At 40.4% G+C, this 20,511-nt stretch overlaps 2 protein-coding genes across 17 annotated transcripts in view, besides 4 other annotated features; one reads left to right on the top strand and one right to left on the bottom strand.

Annotated features, from left to right (window-relative positions):
- Positions 1–6,391, bottom strand: part of C9orf85 (chromosome 9 open reading frame 85) — a 74,420-nt gene extending 68,029 nt beyond the window's left edge. For all 11 annotated transcript variants that reach the window (NR_157408.2, NR_157409.2, NR_157410.2 and 8 more), the window contains exon 1: positions 6,194–6,391. Coding sequence is in view for 6 of the 11 variants with exons in the window: in NM_001365053.2 (NP_001351982.1) it covers positions 6,194–6,295 (102 nt within the window). In the remaining 5 variants the exon portion in view is untranslated. The remainder of the gene's footprint in view (positions 1–6,193) is intronic.
- Positions 6,124–6,183: an enhancer, noted in NCBI's record as "active region_28457". NCBI's record gives its function as "activates an Ori minimal core promoter by ATAC-STARR-seq in GM12878 lymphoblastoid cells {active_cell/tissue: GM12878}" and the evidence as "EXISTENCE:reporter gene assay evidence [ECO:0000049][PMID:35858748]".
- Positions 6,194–6,243: an enhancer, noted in NCBI's record as "active region_28456". NCBI's record gives its function as "activates an Ori minimal core promoter by ATAC-STARR-seq in GM12878 lymphoblastoid cells {active_cell/tissue: GM12878}" and the evidence as "EXISTENCE:reporter gene assay evidence [ECO:0000049][PMID:35858748]".
- Positions 6,314–6,623: an enhancer, noted in NCBI's record as "active region_28455". NCBI's record gives its function as "activates an Ori minimal core promoter by ATAC-STARR-seq in GM12878 lymphoblastoid cells {active_cell/tissue: GM12878}" and the evidence as "EXISTENCE:reporter gene assay evidence [ECO:0000049][PMID:35858748]".
- Positions 6,837–20,511, top strand: part of ABHD17B (abhydrolase domain containing 17B, depalmitoylase) — a 48,742-nt gene continuing 35,067 nt past the window's right edge. For 3 of the 6 annotated variants that reach the window (XM_047423447.1, NM_016014.4, NM_001025780.3), the window contains exon 1: positions 6,837–7,396. The gene's annotated coding sequence lies outside the window, so the exon portion shown is untranslated. Of the gene's footprint in view, positions 7,397–7,513; positions 11,647–20,511 lie in introns of those variants that run through there. The other 3 variants (XM_017014788.3, XM_006717134.4, XM_017014787.3) reach the window with 3 other exon arrangements.
- Positions 7,074–7,313: a silencer, noted in NCBI's record as "silent region_19945". NCBI's record gives its function as "represses an Ori minimal core promoter by ATAC-STARR-seq in GM12878 lymphoblastoid cells {active_cell/tissue: GM12878}" and the evidence as "EXISTENCE:reporter gene assay evidence [ECO:0000049][PMID:35858748]".

The following is a 20,511-nucleotide window of genomic DNA, read 5'->3' as shown; positions in this document are numbered from 1 at the left end:
TGTATTTTTAGTAGAGACGAGGTTTTACCATGTTGGCCAGGCTGTTTGCAAACTCCTGACCTCAAGTGATCTGCCTGCCTTGGCCTCCCAAAGTGCTGTGATTACAGGCATGAGCCACTGTGCCCAGCCTTCTTGGTTTTCTTTGTTTGTTTGTTTGCCTATTTTTGACTGAGGTAAAATTTATATCAATGTCATGCATAGGCCTTAAACGTACAATTTAATGAGTTTTAATATATTTGCTCTTATAATCTTCACTGCTCCTGCCACTCCAGAAAGTTTTCTTGTGCCTTTCTGGTCTCTATAGATGGAATCACATAGTATGCTCTTTTGTATCTGGTTTGTTTCCCTCCACATTAGTGTTTCCAAGATTCATCTGCTTTGCTTGTATCAGTTTTTCTTTTTTTTAAAATAGCAGAGTAGTATTCCATTGCATGCCTCTGCCACAATCAGCTTATATATATTCTCCCGTTGATAGATATTTGGAGGTTTTCCCCATTTTTGACAACTGTGAATAAAGGTGTGTGTAAACACAGAATCCTGTTCTGCTGTATAAATGCAATCATAACTAATCTTAAACTTGACAGCTTTCTGCCTAAATCAGGAGCCAAGAAAATGGACTAAATTAGTATCTACTTTCACATTAACTCAGCAAAAGGAGCCTCTGCTACAGAGCCCAGGCTGATGAGATGAGATCCACCCCAACCAGCCCACATGTATGGCATGTGATACTCCAGGGGCCACACCTCATGAGGAAAGACTCTCCCTAGAACATTTCAAACAAGCAATGTTTAGTATTGGTGGCAATAAACCACACTCATTTCTGTTCTGACCCTAATCTGGTGTCACACTGCTTCCATTACACCCAAAAATACAGTACATATATTTTTTAAAATCACACATACACATGGAGGGCTTTTGATTTACTTGCCCTTTGAATTGTCCTCCCACAGATCCCATCCAACCAATGAAGAGGCATGTGCTAATTATGTAACTCTGGGCATGTCATTCACCTCTAAGCCCTAATTTCCCAATATGTAAAATGGGATCATTTTGCATCTATCTTAGGGTTACTTTGAAGATGAAATTATTATAGATAATGTATAGCAAGTATACATAGTGCCTAAACATAGTGCCTAATACACTTAAGTACACAAATATTAGCTATAACAGGTTGAGTATCCCTAATCCAAAAAATCTGAAATCTAAAACTTTTTGAGCACCTATATCATGTTCAAAGTAAATACCTGTTGGAACATTTTGGATTAAAGAGTCTAAACTGATATAATGTAAATATTCCAAAATCTGAAAAAATCTGAAATCCAGAACACTCTGGTCCTAAGCATTTCAGATAAATAATACTCAACTTGTATTAATAAAACTATATTTCCAAAATTATTTAGAGTACACCCATAGACTTCCATTTTCCATCTCCATCTCAAGATGAAGACTATAGTTTCCTAAAATTAGTGAGCTCCACAACAAATTAGTTCAATAGGTATTATGTAAATCAAAGCGTTCCATAGCCAAGCAAGTTTTGGTTGAATAATTTTTTAACTGCAAAACATTGATTTATTCCAATGTATACTACGACCCACCTCTAAAAGTGAGATCTAGTATACAGTATTTCCAAAGTGATTTGATCATGAAATTTTCTCCTGCCCTATGAAGAAGATACATGACCTTGGGGCTCTAAGAAATATATTTTGGGAAATGCTATTAAAAACAATACTGACTATATATATATTATTAATAGCATCCTCAAAAGGATGACAGATGCTCCTCCATTTAGTTTAATGTTACTCATCCTTCTGATTTTTGGGGAGCTTTCCTTAACCCTCCAAACATAATCAAGACTTCATGCTATTATAGATACTCTCAGGGCTCCCTAGACCGTTCTTTCATAGCTCTTACTGCTGTAGTATTAACATACTTGAAAGATTATTTGATTAATGCCTGTCACTTCTCCCACCAAATCACAAGCTTCAATTAAGACTGTGACTGTATATTTTGCTCAACCCTATACTTCCAATATCTAGCACAATGTTTGGTACCAGATAACACATGTGGAATACAGACAGGAATACCAGAATTTCACTGCGGCCTTTTTGGCATAGTGCAAAACTGAAAACAACTCAATGTTTATTAATAGGAAAGTAGTTAAATAAGCTAATCCACATTTGTGCTGTATAATATTACACAGCCATTTAAAAAATAAGCTTAATCTTTCTGTTCTGACACATCCACTTTACTGAATGAGAAGGGCAAAGATGTATTTTATTACATATGCACTGTATCATACAGACATATCTAGAAATGTACACATCAAAGTGTTAACAGTGACTATATCTGAACAGGACTAAAACTGGGAACAGAGACTTTCACTTTTATACAGTACCTTATATACTTCTCTATTGTTTCAGTATTCTTCAACAAGCATGCATTTCTTTTCTAATTAATTTTTTTAGGCTTTGATCAACTGCAGGGCCACATAAATTATTATGGGCTTTATTCTTAGTTCTTATTTTTATCCCTATTTCTTAAAAATATTTTTGTAGCTGGGTACGGTGGCTCACACCTGTAATCCCAGCACCTTGGGAGGCCAAGGTGGGCAGATCGCTTGAGGTCAGGAGTGACCAACCTGGCCAACATAGTGAAACCCCATCTCTACTAAAAATACAAAAATTAGCCAGGCATGGTTGTGTGCCCCTGAAATCCCAGCTACTTGGGAGGCTGAGACAAGAGAATCACTTGAACCCAGGAGGTGGAGGTTGTGGTGATCCATATCACGCCACTGCACTCCAGCCTGGGCGAGAGAGCGAGACTCTGTCTCAAAAAAAAAAAAAAAATAATAATAATAATTTTTGTAATGATCTCTGTAGCAATCCTCAGAGGAAAGTAAGACAAGAGATAGTACTAACCCAGTATCATAGATTAAAAGCTATAGGTAAATTGCCTGACATCATCAAGCAAAACAAATGACAGAACTGGGGCTAAGGAATGGCTCTTTTCTCTTAGTCCAGTGCTCTTTTCGTTGGACATCACTGCCTTTCCAGTAAGGGAAAGAAGGCTGCCTTGATCTGCTCAACATCTCAGTACTAAATGACTAGAAAAGATTTAAACCTATTCCCACTGCCGACCCTCTGAATCCCCATAAGTCATTTGAGGGTACCGGTGACCAATGGCCAGAGGGACCTCTTTTAAATAACCCCAGGGAAGAGGAGGTTACAAATCCCGGCGCAAGCCCCTTCACTGTCAGATAATTCCCTCATATTGAGCTGAAACCTATTTTTGTTACTTTGATTCCCTGGTCCAAGTTTGGCCATTTGAAATGGCACAAAATTTGAATATACTCTCCTTTTCTAGAGTATATTCAAGCATATAAAGAAAGCTATCATCTGTGTCCTTTTGAGAATGAGTGCTTTACCTATATTAACTTCCAATAAAACATCTGTAATTATCCAACTTCTAATTGCAGTGAGTCCTAACAAACTGCTTGGCAGAGGAGGAAAAGAAAAACTATCATGTAGGACCCCTACCAAATCATAAAGTATTTAATACAAGTAGTCAATTGTTACTACAGTCCTCTAAGGCAGGGGTGTCCAATCTTTTGGCTTCTCTGGGCCATACTGGAAGAATTGTCTTGGGCCACACATAAAATACACTAACACTAATGACAACTGATGAGCTTAAAAAAAAAAAAATCACAAAAAAATCTCATAATGTTTTAAGAAAATTTACGAATTTGTGTTGGGTTGCATTCAAAGACGCCCTGCACCATGTGTTGGACAAGCTTGCTTTATGGGGAGTTACAGAGAACCGTGCATTTTTTATCACTCCTTTGTTAGATGTCACCAGATCAAATAGCTTTCCAGTGTAAAGAACAGGCACAAAGTTAGGATCAGATGCTTCTGACAAAGTCTTGGCTTTAGATGGCTACTCATAGCAGATGCAAGAATCTGTTATGATCACAGACAATTATTAGCTATTCATTACACAGATGAACAATCAACCGAATGATTTTTCCTCAGTAAAATATTTTGTGTTGTTTTTGTCAGAACCTTCAATAATGAAGTGGCCTGGTGGTCCTCCTGATTAACAAATGAGACTTTTTCATAACTTAAAAGAGGGAAAGGAATTAAAGATAAAAAGATAAAAATGGTCAAATGCAACTTAGTGACTGAACCTGAGACCCAGGAAAACATTTAGGACCAGAATGACATAGTTATTAGATAACACCAAGAAAATGCACAATGAAAAGTACAAGTAGGAGAAGCTACACTATAGTTAAATACTCATTAAAACTGCTTTTTACGAAAACAGACATGAAAAACAATCAAAAGCAAATGTTTGTGCACAACCTTAGGGTAAGAATACACAAGACGCAGACATCTATTTGGAATAGTGCAGCTTTTTATTTTTATTCTGGTTTACCTATTGATAATGGGAGCAAACTTGGGAAAGTCTTCCCAAATGTTGCTTCAGGTTTTCATTCTGAAAAACCTCTCAACCTAAGTGGGGGAAAGGAGAGCACTTAATTTAAAATATTCTTCCTTATTCTCCCTTACTGAGCTGTGTTGCCCTTCACCAATATTTATCATAATTTGTATTTACTTATCTTTCTGCTTTCTTTTTGCCCATATCACCTAGAAACTATAAACTCCGTGAAGGGAGAGTCAGCTCTTTTGAACACGGTATACCTATGAACACAGGGCCTTGCACACGGAAGGTGCTTATTAAATATTTGTAGAATAAGCAAAGAAAGAAAGAGGAAAGGAAAAGGAGATCACAGGTTACCAAAAACAGATGACTTTGCTTTCCCAATCAATGTCGGGAAATTAATCACTTATTGAACACTTACTATGACCTAGGCCATTTATGCATAATCATATAGTTTCGCCTCCCAACAATCCTGACAAATTTGCATTTGAGACCAAAGTAAGGCTCAGAGAAATTAAATATTATACAACTCACTCAAGCCGCACACCTAGTAAATTTGAGCTCCATAACTTTTGTGAATATTAGGTTTATCTGAGTGATGCTGGCCCCTAATATGCCCCTGTTGTCAATGATTTTCTCTCCATACAGCTATGGAGACAGGGAGAGAGATTCACAGCAAAGAGCAAATTAGTAGTTTTTTGTTTTTGTTTTTTGAGACGGAGTCTTGCTCTGTCGCCCAGGAGTGCAGTGATGTGATCTCAGCTCACTGCAACCACCGCCTCCAGGGTTCAAGCGATTCCCCTGCCTCAGCCTCCCGAGTAGCTGGGATTACCGGCACCCGTCACCACGTCGGCTAATTTTTGTATTTTTAGCAGATTGGGAGTTTCGCCATGTTGGCCAGGTCGTTCTCGAACTTCTGACCTCAGGTGATCCGCCCACCACCTCGGCCTCCCAAAGTGCTGAGATTACAAGCGCCCGCCACCACGCCCGGCTAATTTTTGTATTTTTAGTACAGATGGAGTTTCGCCATGTTGACCAGGTCGTTCTCGAACTCCTGACCTCAGGTGATCCACCCGCTTCGGCCTCCCAAAGTGCTGGGATTACAGCACTTTGAGCCACGGCGCCCGGCCTGCAAATTAGTACTTATATACAACCCAAGTCCTCTGGCTATCTAGACAGTCTGAATTTTTTAGCAGGACTTTACAGAAGTCCTGCTAAAGATAAACAGCAAAACAAGTATTTTTACATTAACCAAATATTTTTATCTTCAAAACAATTGTTACAAAACAGAAATTTCACACAATACTAGTGAGGACAGCCTAAGACAGCTTAATCATTCACATTTCCTCTATGGGCTTGGGGTTTTTGGAAAAAAAAATCGTAGCTGCATAAACTTGGTGTAAAATTTGAAAAAGCCACTCATGCCACAATCCTCGTTTCCCTCTGCTAATGTGATCCAGATGGGAACGCTGAACGACGTAACTGCCCCATCTGCACCTTAGATTTCATTAGGGTCCTGTTCACTCTGTGCAATTAGTTAAGTGTGCTGACCATCAAATATTTACCAGGAGACAACATGTCCAGGTCAAAGAAAGGGCGTGAGAATAACATTTTAGAAAGAGTTGCACTGCAGCCAAGACTAACTCTGGGCTGCGGTCCACACTCGCCCCAGCCGACTCCTCTCATTTCCTCTCTCCCCTCTCCAGTGAGCCATTCCTTCCTGGAGTCAAAGACGGTGCAACAGGCAGGTTCCTACCTTGGTCTGCACACTTTTATCGAACTTGTCATTTTTGAAGCTAAACGTATTCTGGTGCTTCTGAGGTCTGGAACGAGCCACGTTGCCTTTCTGGGAGCTCATCGCCGAAATCAAAGCCACCCCTCGCCGGGAGCAGGCAAAAGGATGAGGGGAAAGAAAACCAACGAACTACTCCCAGGAATTGACGCTTCTGTCAATGACCCGGAAGAAACAAACGCAGCCTTTCCGCCCCGGCTCTGGGTCAGCCCACGTGACTCTTCTGGGAGGTCAAAGAGCATCGCTCTGCCCTCCCTGCTGTTAAGCCAAGCCACTCCACGCGGCGCAGCCTCGACCCCTCCGGCTCCGCGCAGCCTCTTTCTCAAACCCGGAGAACAAGTCCCACTTTCTTCGAAATGAGAATTCCCCCATTGGCCCGAATGTGTAGTCCATCAAATCAAAGGGGCGGGGAACCTTTGTTCCTATTGGTTCTTCTTTTCCGCAATCCCCGCCTCCTGCTGAGCGAGCTCAGCCTCTCCTTGAGCTCAGAGCGCCTCCCACCCTGCCGGGCGGCCTCTGATTGGTGGAAGTGAGGCAAGGCTGGGCTCCGTCTCTCCCCCCGCCCGCTAGTAGGCTGGAGCCGGGGTCAGCTTTGGCACCTTCCTCCAGTCAGTGGCCAACTCCTGGCTCAGTGGGGATTGTGCTCGTCCCCTCCGTTCCCCTCCAGTCTTCCTCCCGCTACCGGAACGAGCCTCGCGCTTGGCAGGCTGAGGAGGAGCAAAGAAAGCAGGATTAAAGAGAAGGAAGACCTGGCTAGGTCTGGGTGGCGTCTGCAGTGCCAGAAAGGGAGGCGGTGGCGGCGGCGGCTGCGACCACGGCCGCGCGGGACGTGAGGCCCGAGAGCAACCGACGGGCAGCGGCGGCCGCTCCAGCGCCCCGCACCGGGGCCGTTAGTCAGCAGAACGCGAGCTCTTGTGGAGGAGCAGGGCCGGCGCGAGGCGAGACTCGGGAGCGTGAGCGGGGCCCCTGGGGCGCCGCCGTCCTTCTTCGCCCCGGCGCCGGGGGCTGTAGCCCTGGTCCCCGCTCCTCTGTCGGGCCAGTCTGCAGGCGGAGAGAGTCGGACGGCGCCCGGAGCGCGGATCTCGCCTTGTGGAGGACAGCGCGTCGGCTGCGGTTCTCTCTCGACCCCTTCTGCCCGGCGCTTCGGCCCGGGCCGCTCAGGTGCAGGTGCGTGCGGCCTCGGGGTTTGGGGACGCCGCAGCCCGGCTCGGGGAGGGGGCGCTAGGCCGGGAGCCGCAGCGCGGGAGGGACGAGCCCGGGCCGGCGGGGGGAGGGGAGCGGGAAGCGTCTTTGTTGTTGGCGACCGGGATCCCTTCTCGGCACAGGGGAAAGGCGGGGAAGCCACTCCTCATCGGGTCTGTGTTTTTGAGAGGATTCTCTGATGGTTGCGTGAAGGGGAGCGGTAGGACAGTCCCTGCGGTCCGTGGAGCGGCCGGAGTCAGGGGGTGGGGGAGGGAGGACCGACCGACACTCTAAGAAGGTCTTTGGTCCTCCTCGGTGAAGAGAAGGGTTCCATTTCATTTCCTTTGCTTTTCTCTCAGTGGATGAAAAGATGGGGTCAGGTTCCCATTCCCCTCACTGGCGCACTGAGAGATTCGCGGGTGCCTAAAAGCTTTCTCCTGAATGTCCTTATATCTCTGTCGGGCGCGATTTTAGATTGAATCTGCACGGGGCTTGGCGATTTGTGTATTCCGGTGGGGCTGTCGTAGGGTTCTTTTTCTTTAGATGGTTGGGCTTTAATCTTATTTGTTTTCGAACTCTAAGGTAGGCTTATCAGGAATCGTTTTTGAATTGGAAAATTTAAAGGTTTTGTTTGGGATTTTTTTTAACCCCGAAACAAAGTTATGTCAAATTAGATTGTACTGTGTGGGGGCTCTCGTGAAGGAAAGAGTGTATTTAACCTGGGGTTTTTGTTTAAAAAAAAAAAAAGTTCAGATCTTTGATCTTTGGTGAGATCTCTGCCAATGCCAGAAGAGAATTTTTTGTAAATGATGCTTTAAGTCAGTGTGAAGTAGATTTGGTAAGCAAAAGGATGAATAACGGAATACAGAGGGTGACCTTTAAATTTCGCTGTTTATGAAATGTGTTCCTGTTTAATACTTTTTGTGATATATGATGCTTGATCTATAGATGATTCATTTGGAATTTTTTTATGCCTCTAATAAATCTTTGGAGATCTTGTGCCAACATATGAAACTATAATACCTAATGAGTCGGAGTAGAAAGCCAGATACATGTTGTAATAACGTTAATCTGTTTAGATTAACAGGGAAATTTACATTAAAATGAACTTTTTTCCGTAAAGAGTTTCTCTACATATGTTTATAGCATGAATTTCAGTTGGGTGACATCTAATGATAGCCAGTATTTTGAAAATTGTCATGATTGCTAGTATTCTAATTTGAGACTGCTCAACTTGTTGGTAAGTTTTTATTTGGAGAATAGGGGTCGTGTTACTTAAGGAACAGCAGAGGTAAAAATCTCTGTTGTGCAGTAATTGTCATATCATTTGAAATCCAGAAGGAAATGAATGGCACCTTCACCTATATTTTGACCTCTCTTTTCTCCTACTCTAGTGTTAATAAGGTTAATTGGCAAGGACAGGATTAGATTTTTAGCAGGCTAGGCAGTTTTAATTTTGTCCCTTAGTGTGCAGTATTCTAGTTGATGAGTAGCTTGTTTCCTTGAGTATCTTTGCCCATTTTGAAATGTTTATGAAATGACTGCTGACAAAGAATTTTCTGTTTCCTGGGACAAACAAAATCACCAAAAAACATCATGAAAAAATAATGTTTTTAGTAGCTTAATGAACACAGAAGAATTAAGCAATTAGTGTCTGTTCCAAGTTTGACACTGAATTGGTCTACAACTCCAGGCACGCTATCCCACATCTGAGTCAGTTTTCTCCATCTGTAATATAGGGCTGATAAAATGTGCCACCTGCTCACTTTATAAAAAGGGGAGTGAGAACCATGTAAGCAACAGTTACTCTGGTTATGTGACATTGATATAAGTTAAATGAGAATACTTTTTAATGCAGTGCTCTTACTTTGTTTTGATATTATGAATTTCAATCATTTGATGAACAGTTAGCATAAAGATAAGGAGAATGACTCTCCCTATGCCATCATTTAAGAATTAAAATTTCTTCCGTATTAAGATTGGTGTTAAGATCTTTAGAAGCAGTGATGACAAGAAAATAGAGTATATTTTATTGGTTGGTTTATTTACTGGTAGATTTTACTTCTGATTTATCCAAAGTTTTGCTCTTAATTCTGAAAATTCCCCCTACCCTTCCTACTCTTTAAAATTTCTCACATACATTGCCCCATTTGCCTGTCGAATCCAGCCTTGTGAGTTGGAGAGAGGGAAGGTGAGTTTGTGGCCTTTTTTTTTTTTTTTTTTTTTGAGACGGAGTTTTGCTCTTGTTGCCCAGGCTGGCGTGCAATGGCGCGATCTCGGCTCACTGCAACCTCTGCTTCCCGGGTTCAAGTGATTCTTCTGCCTCAGCCTCCTGAGTAGCTGGGATTACGGGCACCCGCCACCACTCCCGGCTAATTTTTTGTATTTTTAGTAGAGATGGGGTTTCACCACGTTGGCCATGCTGGTCTTCAACTCCTGACCTCAGGTGATCCACCCGCCTTGGCCTCCCAAAGTGCTAGGATTACAGGTGTGAGCCACTTCACTGTTTGTGGAATTTTTACAGATGAAATAAATAAAGCCCAGATAAGTTAATTATTTCAATTGCCTAAAGCTAAGCAATTAGTAAGAAGTAGAATTGAGGCTTGAACTTGGGTCTTCTCTAGTCCTGAATCCTTTGCTTTGGAGCAGTGTTTTCCAAACACCTGTTCATGCCCAAGAGTTTTGTCCAAGTGAAGTGAGAACTAACATAGCAATATAAATGTTGGTGCCATACAATATAATGAATATCCATGTACCCATCACCCAGTTAAACAAACAAAACTACCAATTAAAACGAAGTGTCCGGCCAGGCTCGGTGGCTCACGCCTGTAATCCCAGCACTTTGGGAGGGAGGCCGAGGCAGGCGGATCACCTGGGGTCGGGAGTTAGAGACCAGCCTGACCAACATGGAGAAACCCCGTCTCTACTAAAAATACAAAATTAGCCGGGTGTGGTGGTGCTTGCCTGTAATCCCAGCCACTCGGGAGGCTGAGGCAGGAGAATCGCTTGAACCCAGGAGGCAGAGGTTGTGGTGAGCCAAGATAGCACCATTGCACTCCAGCGTGGGCAGCAAGAGCAAAACTCTGTCTCAGAAAAACAAAAACAAAAAACGAGGTTTCCTTAGTATGTTAATACCTCTCTTAAATGCTGTTCCCTTTTCCCCCCGATATCTAACCAGTGACCCAAAGTTGACATGCATCCTTCCTATATCCACGTGTTGATACTTAACTACATACCTTTATCCTATGAACATTATATATATATAGTTTTATTTTGATTGTCTTAAGACTATTTAAATACAGATATCTTTATTTAGCTTGCTTTCTTCACACAACTTGGCCAAGATTTATCTATGTTTATTTAGGTAGCTCTAGTTTATTTACTTTTACTGTTAGGTGGTATGTGCTCTGTTATATAACTATGTCAGGTTTCTGTTGATGGTCATTTTTGTTGTTTCCATTTGTTTGCTATTAAACAGTACTATAAGGAATATTCCTGTATATGTTAGGTATCTGTTGTGTAAGACTTCTAGAGCAGTGGTTCTTGACCCTACCTACATCCCATGTTCATAGAAAATATTTTACAGTACTTTAAAGAAAGCATTGGCCTTAATAAAATAAGAAAAAATTGTAATAAAGTAATATGTGTTTCACTTTGTAAATACTCGAGCTCAAGACTACATTCAAGATTAGCCACCAAGTGTAATGGTCGACCAGCAACATCAGAATCCCTTGGGAGCTTGTTGGAAATGCAGAGCATCAGACTTTAACCTACTGATGCAGATGCTGTTTTTTTTTTTGTTTGTTTGTTTGTTTTTTAATAATGTAAAAGACAGGATCTCTGGAGCCATACAACTCACTGTAACCTCAAACTCCTGGGCTCAAGGGATCCTCCCACTTCAGCCTCCTGAGCATCTGGGACTACAGGTATGCACCATCAAGCCTGGCTAATTTTTAGATTTTTTACAGAGACAGGGTCTTGCTATCTTGCCCAGGCTGATCTTGAACTCCTGGCCTCAAGTGATCCTCCCTCCTCAGTATCCCAAAGCACTGGGACATTGGGATTACAGACATGAGCCACTGTGCCCGGCCAGATGCTGTATTTTATCAAGATTCCCAGGTGATGCATATACGCATTGAAATATAAGAAGCACTGCTAAAAGAAATAGTAGTAATTAGACGCTTTGTACCAATGGATGGTGTCTCCATCAATACAACAGCTACAGATTAAAACAGGTATGTTAGCCATTCAATTACCAATGCTGGGCCTGTCATTGGTGGAAAAGTGGAAAATGATTTTCTGAAATAACAAACTATCCTCAGAAAAGTTTAAACAGAAATAAAAGTGCAATCTTACCTCTTTACACAATGATTGCATTCATAACAAATCATCTATGTTAAAACTATACAAATAAACTTGGTATTAAATCCTGTTTAGAATTATCTGACATTAGTGGGTTTTTTTTCCTCTTTCTGTTCCCCTCTATGAATGTCCAGCAGAATATTCAAGTCATGAGGCATGGAGCAGCACTATTTGTTTATTTACTTACTTATTTATTTATTTATTTTTTGAGACAGATTCTCACTCTGTTGCCCAGGCTGGAGTGTAGTAGCATGATCACTGCCCACTGAACCCTCGACCCCCGCCAAGCTCAAACAATCCTCCCACCTGGGCTTCCCGAGTGGCTGGGACTACAGGCATGCACCACCACACCCAGCTAATTTTTGTATTTTTTTTGTAGAGACAAGGATTTCACCATGTTGGCCAGGCTGGTCTTGAACTCCTGAGCTCAAGTGATCTGCCTACCATGGCGCTGCACCCCACCTGCCCCCTCCAAAAGTGCTGGGATTATAGGTGTGAGCCACTGCGCCCAATCTGAGCAGCACTTTCTTTATGCAAGAAAAGTGCCTGGCATTCCTGGCCTCTATTTAGTAGTGCCCCTCATTCATTATAGTAGCCAAAAGCTGTCATTGAGAAAGATTGCCCTGGTTTATAAATCTGGTAGTAGGTTGCTAGATCACAGCGTATGAATGTCTTCAACTTTATTAAATAACTGTCAGTTTTCTGTACAAAGTACAACTTCCAGTCCATAATGCATGAGAGAGGGTCTGCTTGTCTGCATTTCAGATATTTTAGAAGGTAGAAAAATATTAGTAGTAATATTTTATTAATTTTTGCCATTCTGAGGAGTATGAAATGGTACCTCATTGTAGTTTTTATTTGCATCTTGTTTTAATGTATTCTTTGTAATAATACTTGGTAGGCATTAAAAATATCTTCCAGCCTGGGCAACATGATGAAACCCCGTCTCTACTAAAAATACCAAAACTTAGCCGGGTGTAGTGGTGGGCGCCTGTAATCCCAGCTACTCAGGAGGCTGAGACAGGAGAATCGCTTGAACCTGGGAGGCAGAGGTTGCAGTGAGCCGAGATCGCGCCACCACACTCCAGCCTGGGGGACACAATGAGACTCCGTCTCAAAAAAAAAAACAAAAAACTTCTTCCACTCTTTAGCATGCATTTTCACTTTAAATATGTTGTCTTTTAATGACTAGAAGTTTTTTAATTTTAATATCAAATGTATCATTCTTTTGGAGAAAGCCTTCTCTATACTGGGGTTATAAAAATTCTTTCAGAGCATCTTTTAAGAGTTCACATTTAGATCTTAAATTTTTGTTGAACTGTTTGTATATAATGAGGTGCTCATGGATCTAAATTTACTTAAAAATGACTGCCCTTTATTGTGAAATTAGGTAATTTTTTATGTTAAGATGTTCTGATGAAATTACAGTGATAGTAATTGTTTTTAGTTCTTAATATCCCTTTGTGTCAAAATTAAAATTTGACACCTCTTTCATTCCAACTTTTCTCTTTTTTACTTTACCTGTTTTTTGAAATCCCTAAGGTTTGGTAACTACTACTTTAGTGTACTCTGATTCTTATGTTTCATCTGTGTCTCACATTTACCCACTACAGCATCATCAAATGTGAGTAGACACTCTTAAATACTAATCATTGATCCTCATCTGCATCTTCCACATTTCGGAGTTTGCTTGACATGTCTTTTCACCACTTTTTATTATGGCTAGGATTTTAAAAATGATACTGATGACCCTAATTTTTTTTTAACAGAATAGAATTTCAGGCTAAATTTAAATGTTACTTGAATATAAATTTTTCTCAGCTATAGGGTCAAACTTCTTTGTTTTCCTAGTAATTAAAAGTGAGAATGATCAAACAAGTTCTTGCATACAGCTAAAGCTGAAAAACGGGAAAGGAAAATTGGGCCAGTGTTCACTGGGTACCAGTCACTATTCTGGGAATGGGAGGGTGGGGATGACGTCTATGAGCAAAACAAGCAAAGCTCCCTAGCTTCCTGGAGCTTATCACCTACCAGAGGCCCACTGATAATATGCACAACAAATAATATATTAGAAAGTGATAACTGCTTTGGAATAAAAGAAAACATAGAGAGGGGTAAGGTGGACCAAAGGAGTTAGTTGAACCTGTTAAATAGGGAAGAAGAGAATGGGCAGAGATGTGCAGTCAGTGAGAGTATTAGCAATTCAGATATTAGCAAAATACTGGAAGAGTGGATAGAATATGGTCTTTAAGTGAAACCTGTGTTCCTGGCTCTCTCCACCTTTAAGTTGTGTGAACTTGACAAGCTAATTAACTTAACCTGAATTCTTGATTTCTTCATGATAACCTGGGAAAAGTATTATTAAGATTAAAAGATATAACAAGTGAAAGTGCCTACTTCCCGCCCCCCACTTGTTCTCATAGCACTCTGTACTTTATTTTCATAGCATTTATTACGGTCTATAATTATCTGTGTCATTATTTGATAAATATTTATCTCACTCATTCTAAAACATTGATGGAAAGAACCAGTCAGTGCAGTAAATCTATTTTGTTAACATACAGTCATTTGTAGACAAACCCTAAACCTTTTTCATGTAAAAATCATCTCATGCAGATTTATTGAGAAAGTGTTTTGTACTTATAGAATGTCTTTATGCTAGAGCTTCAGATTATATTACAGGTATTAGCCCATTAATTACCATATGTCATCTTTGTGATGAAGGCAATGGATATGTATCATCTTGCAGTTGAAGGAACTGAGGTTGCTAATTGCATAGAGACAGAAAATCAGAGAATTTGGATCAAATCTGATTACATTTGATTATATTTTCCTTTCTTTTCTTCAATAGTGTTAACATGGACTCTCTTTAAAGTATAAAAGCAAAAATACGTAGATTGTTGGAAAATCACTAGCAAACAAGCAATTAATATTTTAGTTATGACTTTTCAGTTTTTTCCTCATGAGAAGCTTCTTATAGTGTCTGAGGTGATGTTAGAATTCTATGCATGTAGCAAACACATGTACCCCATAAATAGGTAAAATATTATCTATCAGTGAAAAAAAAAAGGATGACAATAGTTAGAGGCCTTTACACTTAAAAATACTTTATACAGATAAATACTTTTTAAAATTATGGCTTATCAGAGTATTTAAGATTTATGTTGAGGATGTAGTCACATTAAAAGGGTAGGATTTAGAAAATGCATAGCACATGCCTAATGTAGATCAGAGTGAAGAAAGGGGGTTGAAATAACTTCATTTACTTGGTGCAGCCAAGTCTCCATTCCAATCACAAGAAACTTGAAGTAAAGCAAGTGCCTCCAGGAACAAAAAAGACATTATCAATCATGTCAAACTTGTTTGGCTTCTGAATTTAGATGTTTTTTTAAGTTTGTTTTGAAAATTAAAATCAATGGAAATAATTCGTATAATAAACTTTTCCCAAAAATGTCATCTGCAGATTGTGACCTAGATATTTTGTTTCTGATTACTGTCCTGCTTAGTGTGCTGATAATTTTTCACTCTAGCTCTGTGGACCCAACCCCTAAAAGTAATGATTATTCTCTGCATATCAGTTATTAGCAAAGAAAATGTCATTTAGTAACTTGTGTTGGCAAGCCTACATCTGAAACACTACAAGTTACATTTTCTTCCGAGCTTTTTAACAGACCTCATTGTCACTTTTATTAATCAAATAGTTAGGGGCTGATCACAGTCCCTTTACAACTAATTGATAACAACCTGCTACAGACTTCTTTGTTCCTTCTCCAGTTCCACTGCTTCATTTGACTAGCCTGAAAAAAATAAAAAAACTAAAAGGGTGGGGGTGGGGTGGAAGGTGGGGGTAATGAGATAATAGCCAGAAGCAGGACTTTACATATATAAAGGGCGTTCTGATACAAACCCCTAGGGTAATGGCTTTCCATTTTTCATTAGATTCTATAAAAAATACATTTTGCTTCATAACCTAGTTCATACACATGCACCCAAAAACCAAAATAAGTCTCACTAAAGAGATTATCTAAATTAATCAGCATGGGCACGGGTCAGGGGAGACTGTTTTTGCCCCCTACGGAAGGAAGTACAGCTTAAACAGAGGTTTAAAAACTAGTAAAAGTTTCATTTATTTGAAGGGGGAGTGATGAGTTGGGGAGATTTTATCAACAAAAAAGGAACTATATGTGATAAGGCACAGAAGCAGAAAAGAACCTCTCTTAGCGAGGAACAGCCTGTTAAATTAAATAAATGAATCGGACAGTGCTCAGAAATAAGGCTAGAGACCAAGGAGGGTAGGGGGAATCATGTATAGCATGCCAGAGAATTTAGACTTATTTAAGAGGGCTTGAAAGGCCCATTGGAACATTTTAAACAGGAAAGTGACATCACCTGGTGGCAGTGTAGAGCATGGATTAGGGGGGTATGAAATAGATATTAGTGAGTGATTTTATAACATTCATTGAAAAGTCGTTGAGCTAAAAATGTGGCTAAGAGGTTTGGAGAGAGGTCCATAGGAAGTAGACCTTGATTGAATGAGAGGAATGAAGAGGGGGATGGGGAAAGAGTGAAATGCAGGTGGAGATATTTCAGAGTCTAGAGTTTAAGGGGAGAGACCTGAAATCTTAGAGATTTAGATTTTTAGATCTAGGTAACATTGTAGTATAAAGGGTAGTTAAAGCATTAGGTTTAGGTGCGATAAAAAGAGGAAAACAAAAGACCAATCTATAAAAATAAATAAATAGGTTAAAAAAGAGTTTGAAGAAACCATCAGAGAAACCAAGATTGAAGGTTAATTTCAAGAAGGAAGGAAAGGACAACGATGTTAAATGCTATAAAGTGATCCTGTATAAATTGAAGATTGAAAAACACCTGTTATACTTCGAAATTGTTAAGAGGTTGTCAGTGATCCTACAAGTTGATGATAGATGTTATATTACAATTCATTTTGGGCCTGACAGGGAATATTGGTAAGTGAGAAGTAAAGAGGTTTGATTCTGAAAAAAGAAAAACAAAAAACAAACAAAAAAAACAACTCAGGTACAGTAGGTAGAATCTAGATACAGATACATGCAAAAAAAAAAATTATTTATTTATTTATTTATTTTGAGACAGAGTCTCGCTCTGTCTTCCAGGCTGGAGTGCAGTGGCACGATCTCGGCTCACTGCAAGCTCCGCCTCCCGGGTTCAGGCCATTCTCTTGCCTCAGCCTCCTGAGTAGCTGGGACTACAGGCGCCCGCTACCATGCCCGGCTAATTTTTTGTATTTTTTTTAGGAGAGACGGGGTTTCACAGTGTTAGCCAGGACGGTCTCAATCTCCTGACCTTGTGATCCACCCACCTCGGCCTCCCAAAGTGCTGGGATTACAGGCGTGAGCCACTGCACCCAGCCCATGCAAACATTTTTTAGGCAAGTGCATGAACTCTGATGTGGAAACAGCTTCATGCTTTCAAGATACTGAAAGATGGTGAGTGAGAGAGGCTGCAACTATAGTGATGAGGGGGGGATAGTATCAAGATATGGTTGGAGGAGTAAGCAAAAGCCACTTGACACAAGGCCTTTAAGGACCTGTGGAGAAGTTTGACTTTTTTTTTTTTTTTTTTTTTGGAGATGGAGTCTCACTCTGTCGCCCAGACCAGAGTGCAGTGGCATGATCTTGGCTCACTGCAACCTCAGCCTCATGAATTCAAGCGATTCTACCACCTCAGCCTCCCGAGTAATCCTGGGATTACAGGCACACGCCATCACGCCTGGCTAATTTTTGTATTTTTAGTAGAGACGGGGTTTCACCCTATTGGCCAGGCTGGTCTCGAACTCCTGTCCGCCTCAGCCTCCCAAAGTGCTGGGATTACAGGCACGAGCCACCGTCCCCGAACCTTGATTTTTTTACAAGTAGAGAGAGAAGCCATCAAGGAGTTTTTAAGCGGGAAATCACCTTGTAGGCCGTCTAGAAAAGAAACTGTAGATTAGGAGAACATATGAATGGAAGAAATTCACATTTACTCAAATATTTTTCTTTGTGTTTACTCGCACATTTTGAGTTGTTCTTTCTGTTTTCTTATTCTATATAACCCTAGTTAGTCCTTTCATTTCCTCATAGTGAGAAACTAGTACAAAAAGGATAGAAAAGGCAATCTTAATAAATTCAGAGAATTGCATTTGTTCTTATTTACAATTAAAGATGACATAAATTGACTTTTCAATTGAACTGTCTTTTTTGGGGTTTAGACTTTTAAGATATTAAAGTCAATGAAAATTTCCTGCCTATCTGATACTGTTCTGGCTTGTTTTTAGTAAGGCTCCTAAAGAATTTACTTTTCTTTTAGAAATGTCATTTAGAGGCTTTTAAAATATTCTCAGTATTTTTAATGGAATGTAGAATTAAAGTGTTTTTTTTTTCCTGTAAGGACAAGGCAGGAAGAGAGCCATATTTAGCTGCATAAAGATAATGTTAACATAGGATATGATGTCCCCGAAATAGGCAGTTTACAGAGAAGAGGGAGGATTTAGTATAATTTTGCCAGAGAAGCTCTATGTCTCATAGTGCATTATTTTCACATTAAAATTGAGGCAGTAGGGGGCATAGAGCTCATTTAAATAGAATTATAGCCAGAACCTTCATTTTCCAACTCTTGGGCTAGTGCTCCTTCCACAATTCCTATATTTCCTACAGGTCCAAGTAATGTTGTCAAAGATATATTTAATTCATCTAATAACAGGGTCCGTGGGATCCCTGCCTAAAAGGGTATTCAAGACCATTTAGTAACCTGATGTGCAACATTTGTAAGGGTGAGCAAACCACCCATCTTAAATGCCTGCTTTCTTCCTTATCACAAAGAAGTATTTACACCAAAGATACCCTAGACATATAGACTACCAAATAAAAACTACAGGCTCAGCCTATGAGATTCATCTCAAATAAAGGATTTGCCTCAATGTTTTTACAAACCTCTTCTGCTTTCCTCCATCCCACTCTTCCCCAGTTGCATTACTTGGCATACAGCTTTGGAAACATTGTTCTGTCAGCTTTGGCTAAAATACTTTTCACACCTACCCTAGGACATTTCTTTGAAAGAAAAAACAAAAACAGTATTTGCTTGTATTGTTGCTACTCAGCTCTCTTTTTTTTTTTTTTCCCTGAGAGTCTTGCTCTGTCGCCCAGGTTGGAGTGCAGTGGCACAATCTCGGCTCACTGTAGCCTCTGCCTACCGGGTTCAAGCTATTCTCATGTCTCAGCCTCTTGAGTAGCTGGGATTACAGGCATGCACCACCACACCTGGCTTATTTTTGTATTTTTAGTAGAGATGTGGTTTCACCATGTTGGCCAGGCTTGCTCTGAAACTCCTGACCTCAGGTGATCCATCCACCTCAGACTCGCAAAGTGCTGGGACTACAGGTGTGCACCACCACGCCTAATTTTTTTGGTAGAGACAGAGTTTTGCAATGTTGCCCAGGCTGGTCTCAAATGCCTGAGCTCAAGTGATCCACCTACCTCGGCCTCCCAAAGTGCTGGGATTGCAGGTGGGAGCCACCACTCCCAGCCAGAGATTTGTTTTTAAATTTCTCACATGTCTAAACCCGCCCTTTCCCATGTGTGTTGTTTGTTTGTTTGTTTGTTTGAAATAGAGTTTCACTTTTGTTGCCCAGGCTGGAGTGCAAAGGCACGATCTTGGCTCACCGCAGCCTTCGCTTCCTGGGTTCAAGCGATTCTCCTGCCTCAGCCTCCTGAGTAGTTGGGATTACAGGCATGCACCGCCATGCCCAGCTAATTTTTTTTTTTTTTTTTTTTAGTAGAGATGGAGTTTCGCCATGTTGGTCAGGCTGGTCTCGAACTCCCAACCTCAGGTGATCTGCCCACCTCGGCCTCCCAAAGTGCTTGGATTACAGGCGTGAGCCACCATGCCCAGCCTCCCATGTTTTTACTTCCTTTCCACCATGCACCCTATGCTTTTCTTCTTTCTCACTTTACACATTATCCTCCTAGCCTGGAGGATTTTCCCTCCGTTTTGGGAAGTCATATCTAAATGAAGTTCTAATTCTCTCACAAAGGCTTTCCTAATTCTTGATCTCTGCTGTCTTCTGATTTCTGAAAGCTTAAAATCTACTCCACATTAAATAGCCCTTAATTTTTTATTGGATGAAAAGACCCTACAGAACATTAATTCCCAATCTGTTAAATATATTGTTCTTATTTTCTTATATTAGGCATCTAGTCTATTCTTTGAAATCTTTATTCCATTTCTTCTTAAGCACTACTGAAAAAAAATGTATGAAAAGACAAAATTTCCATATTTGAAGAAGGTGGTGAAATGTAAACTTTTTGAGGCTGGAAAAGTTTTATTAAGCACAAGTAACAAGTGTTTGTTACACATCTAAGAGTAGTGCTATTTCTTCAAACCTTTACTTACAGATGCATATGATTAAGGGAAAACAGCTGCAGCCAGAGGAAAAGGAAGTGGTAGAGATGACAGTTTATGCAGCTAGCCAAACTGGGTAGACAAACTGAAGGCCACATTAGTAAGGATTGACTGACATGTTACAACATCTATGTAAAGAGAGTTAAAGAGTATTACATTTATATTGAGAGTGCATAAATGTTATAATTCCCCCATATCTCTACTAAAAAGGTATTATATATAGTATATGGAAAAGGGATTGATAGTTAAACGAGGAATATAACTTCCTTTGGGAAATAAATTCTTTGCAAGATGGCTTCATTTTAATTTCATTTTTTATATTT

This window comes from Homo sapiens, chromosome 9 (genome assembly GCF_000001405.40).
Source record: "Homo sapiens chromosome 9, GRCh38.p14 Primary Assembly".
NCBI lineage: Eukaryota > Metazoa > Chordata > Mammalia > Primates > Hominidae > Homo > Homo sapiens.
The sequence above is the reverse complement of the archived record's forward strand: the minus strand, read 5'-3'. Positions and strand labels throughout refer to the sequence as shown.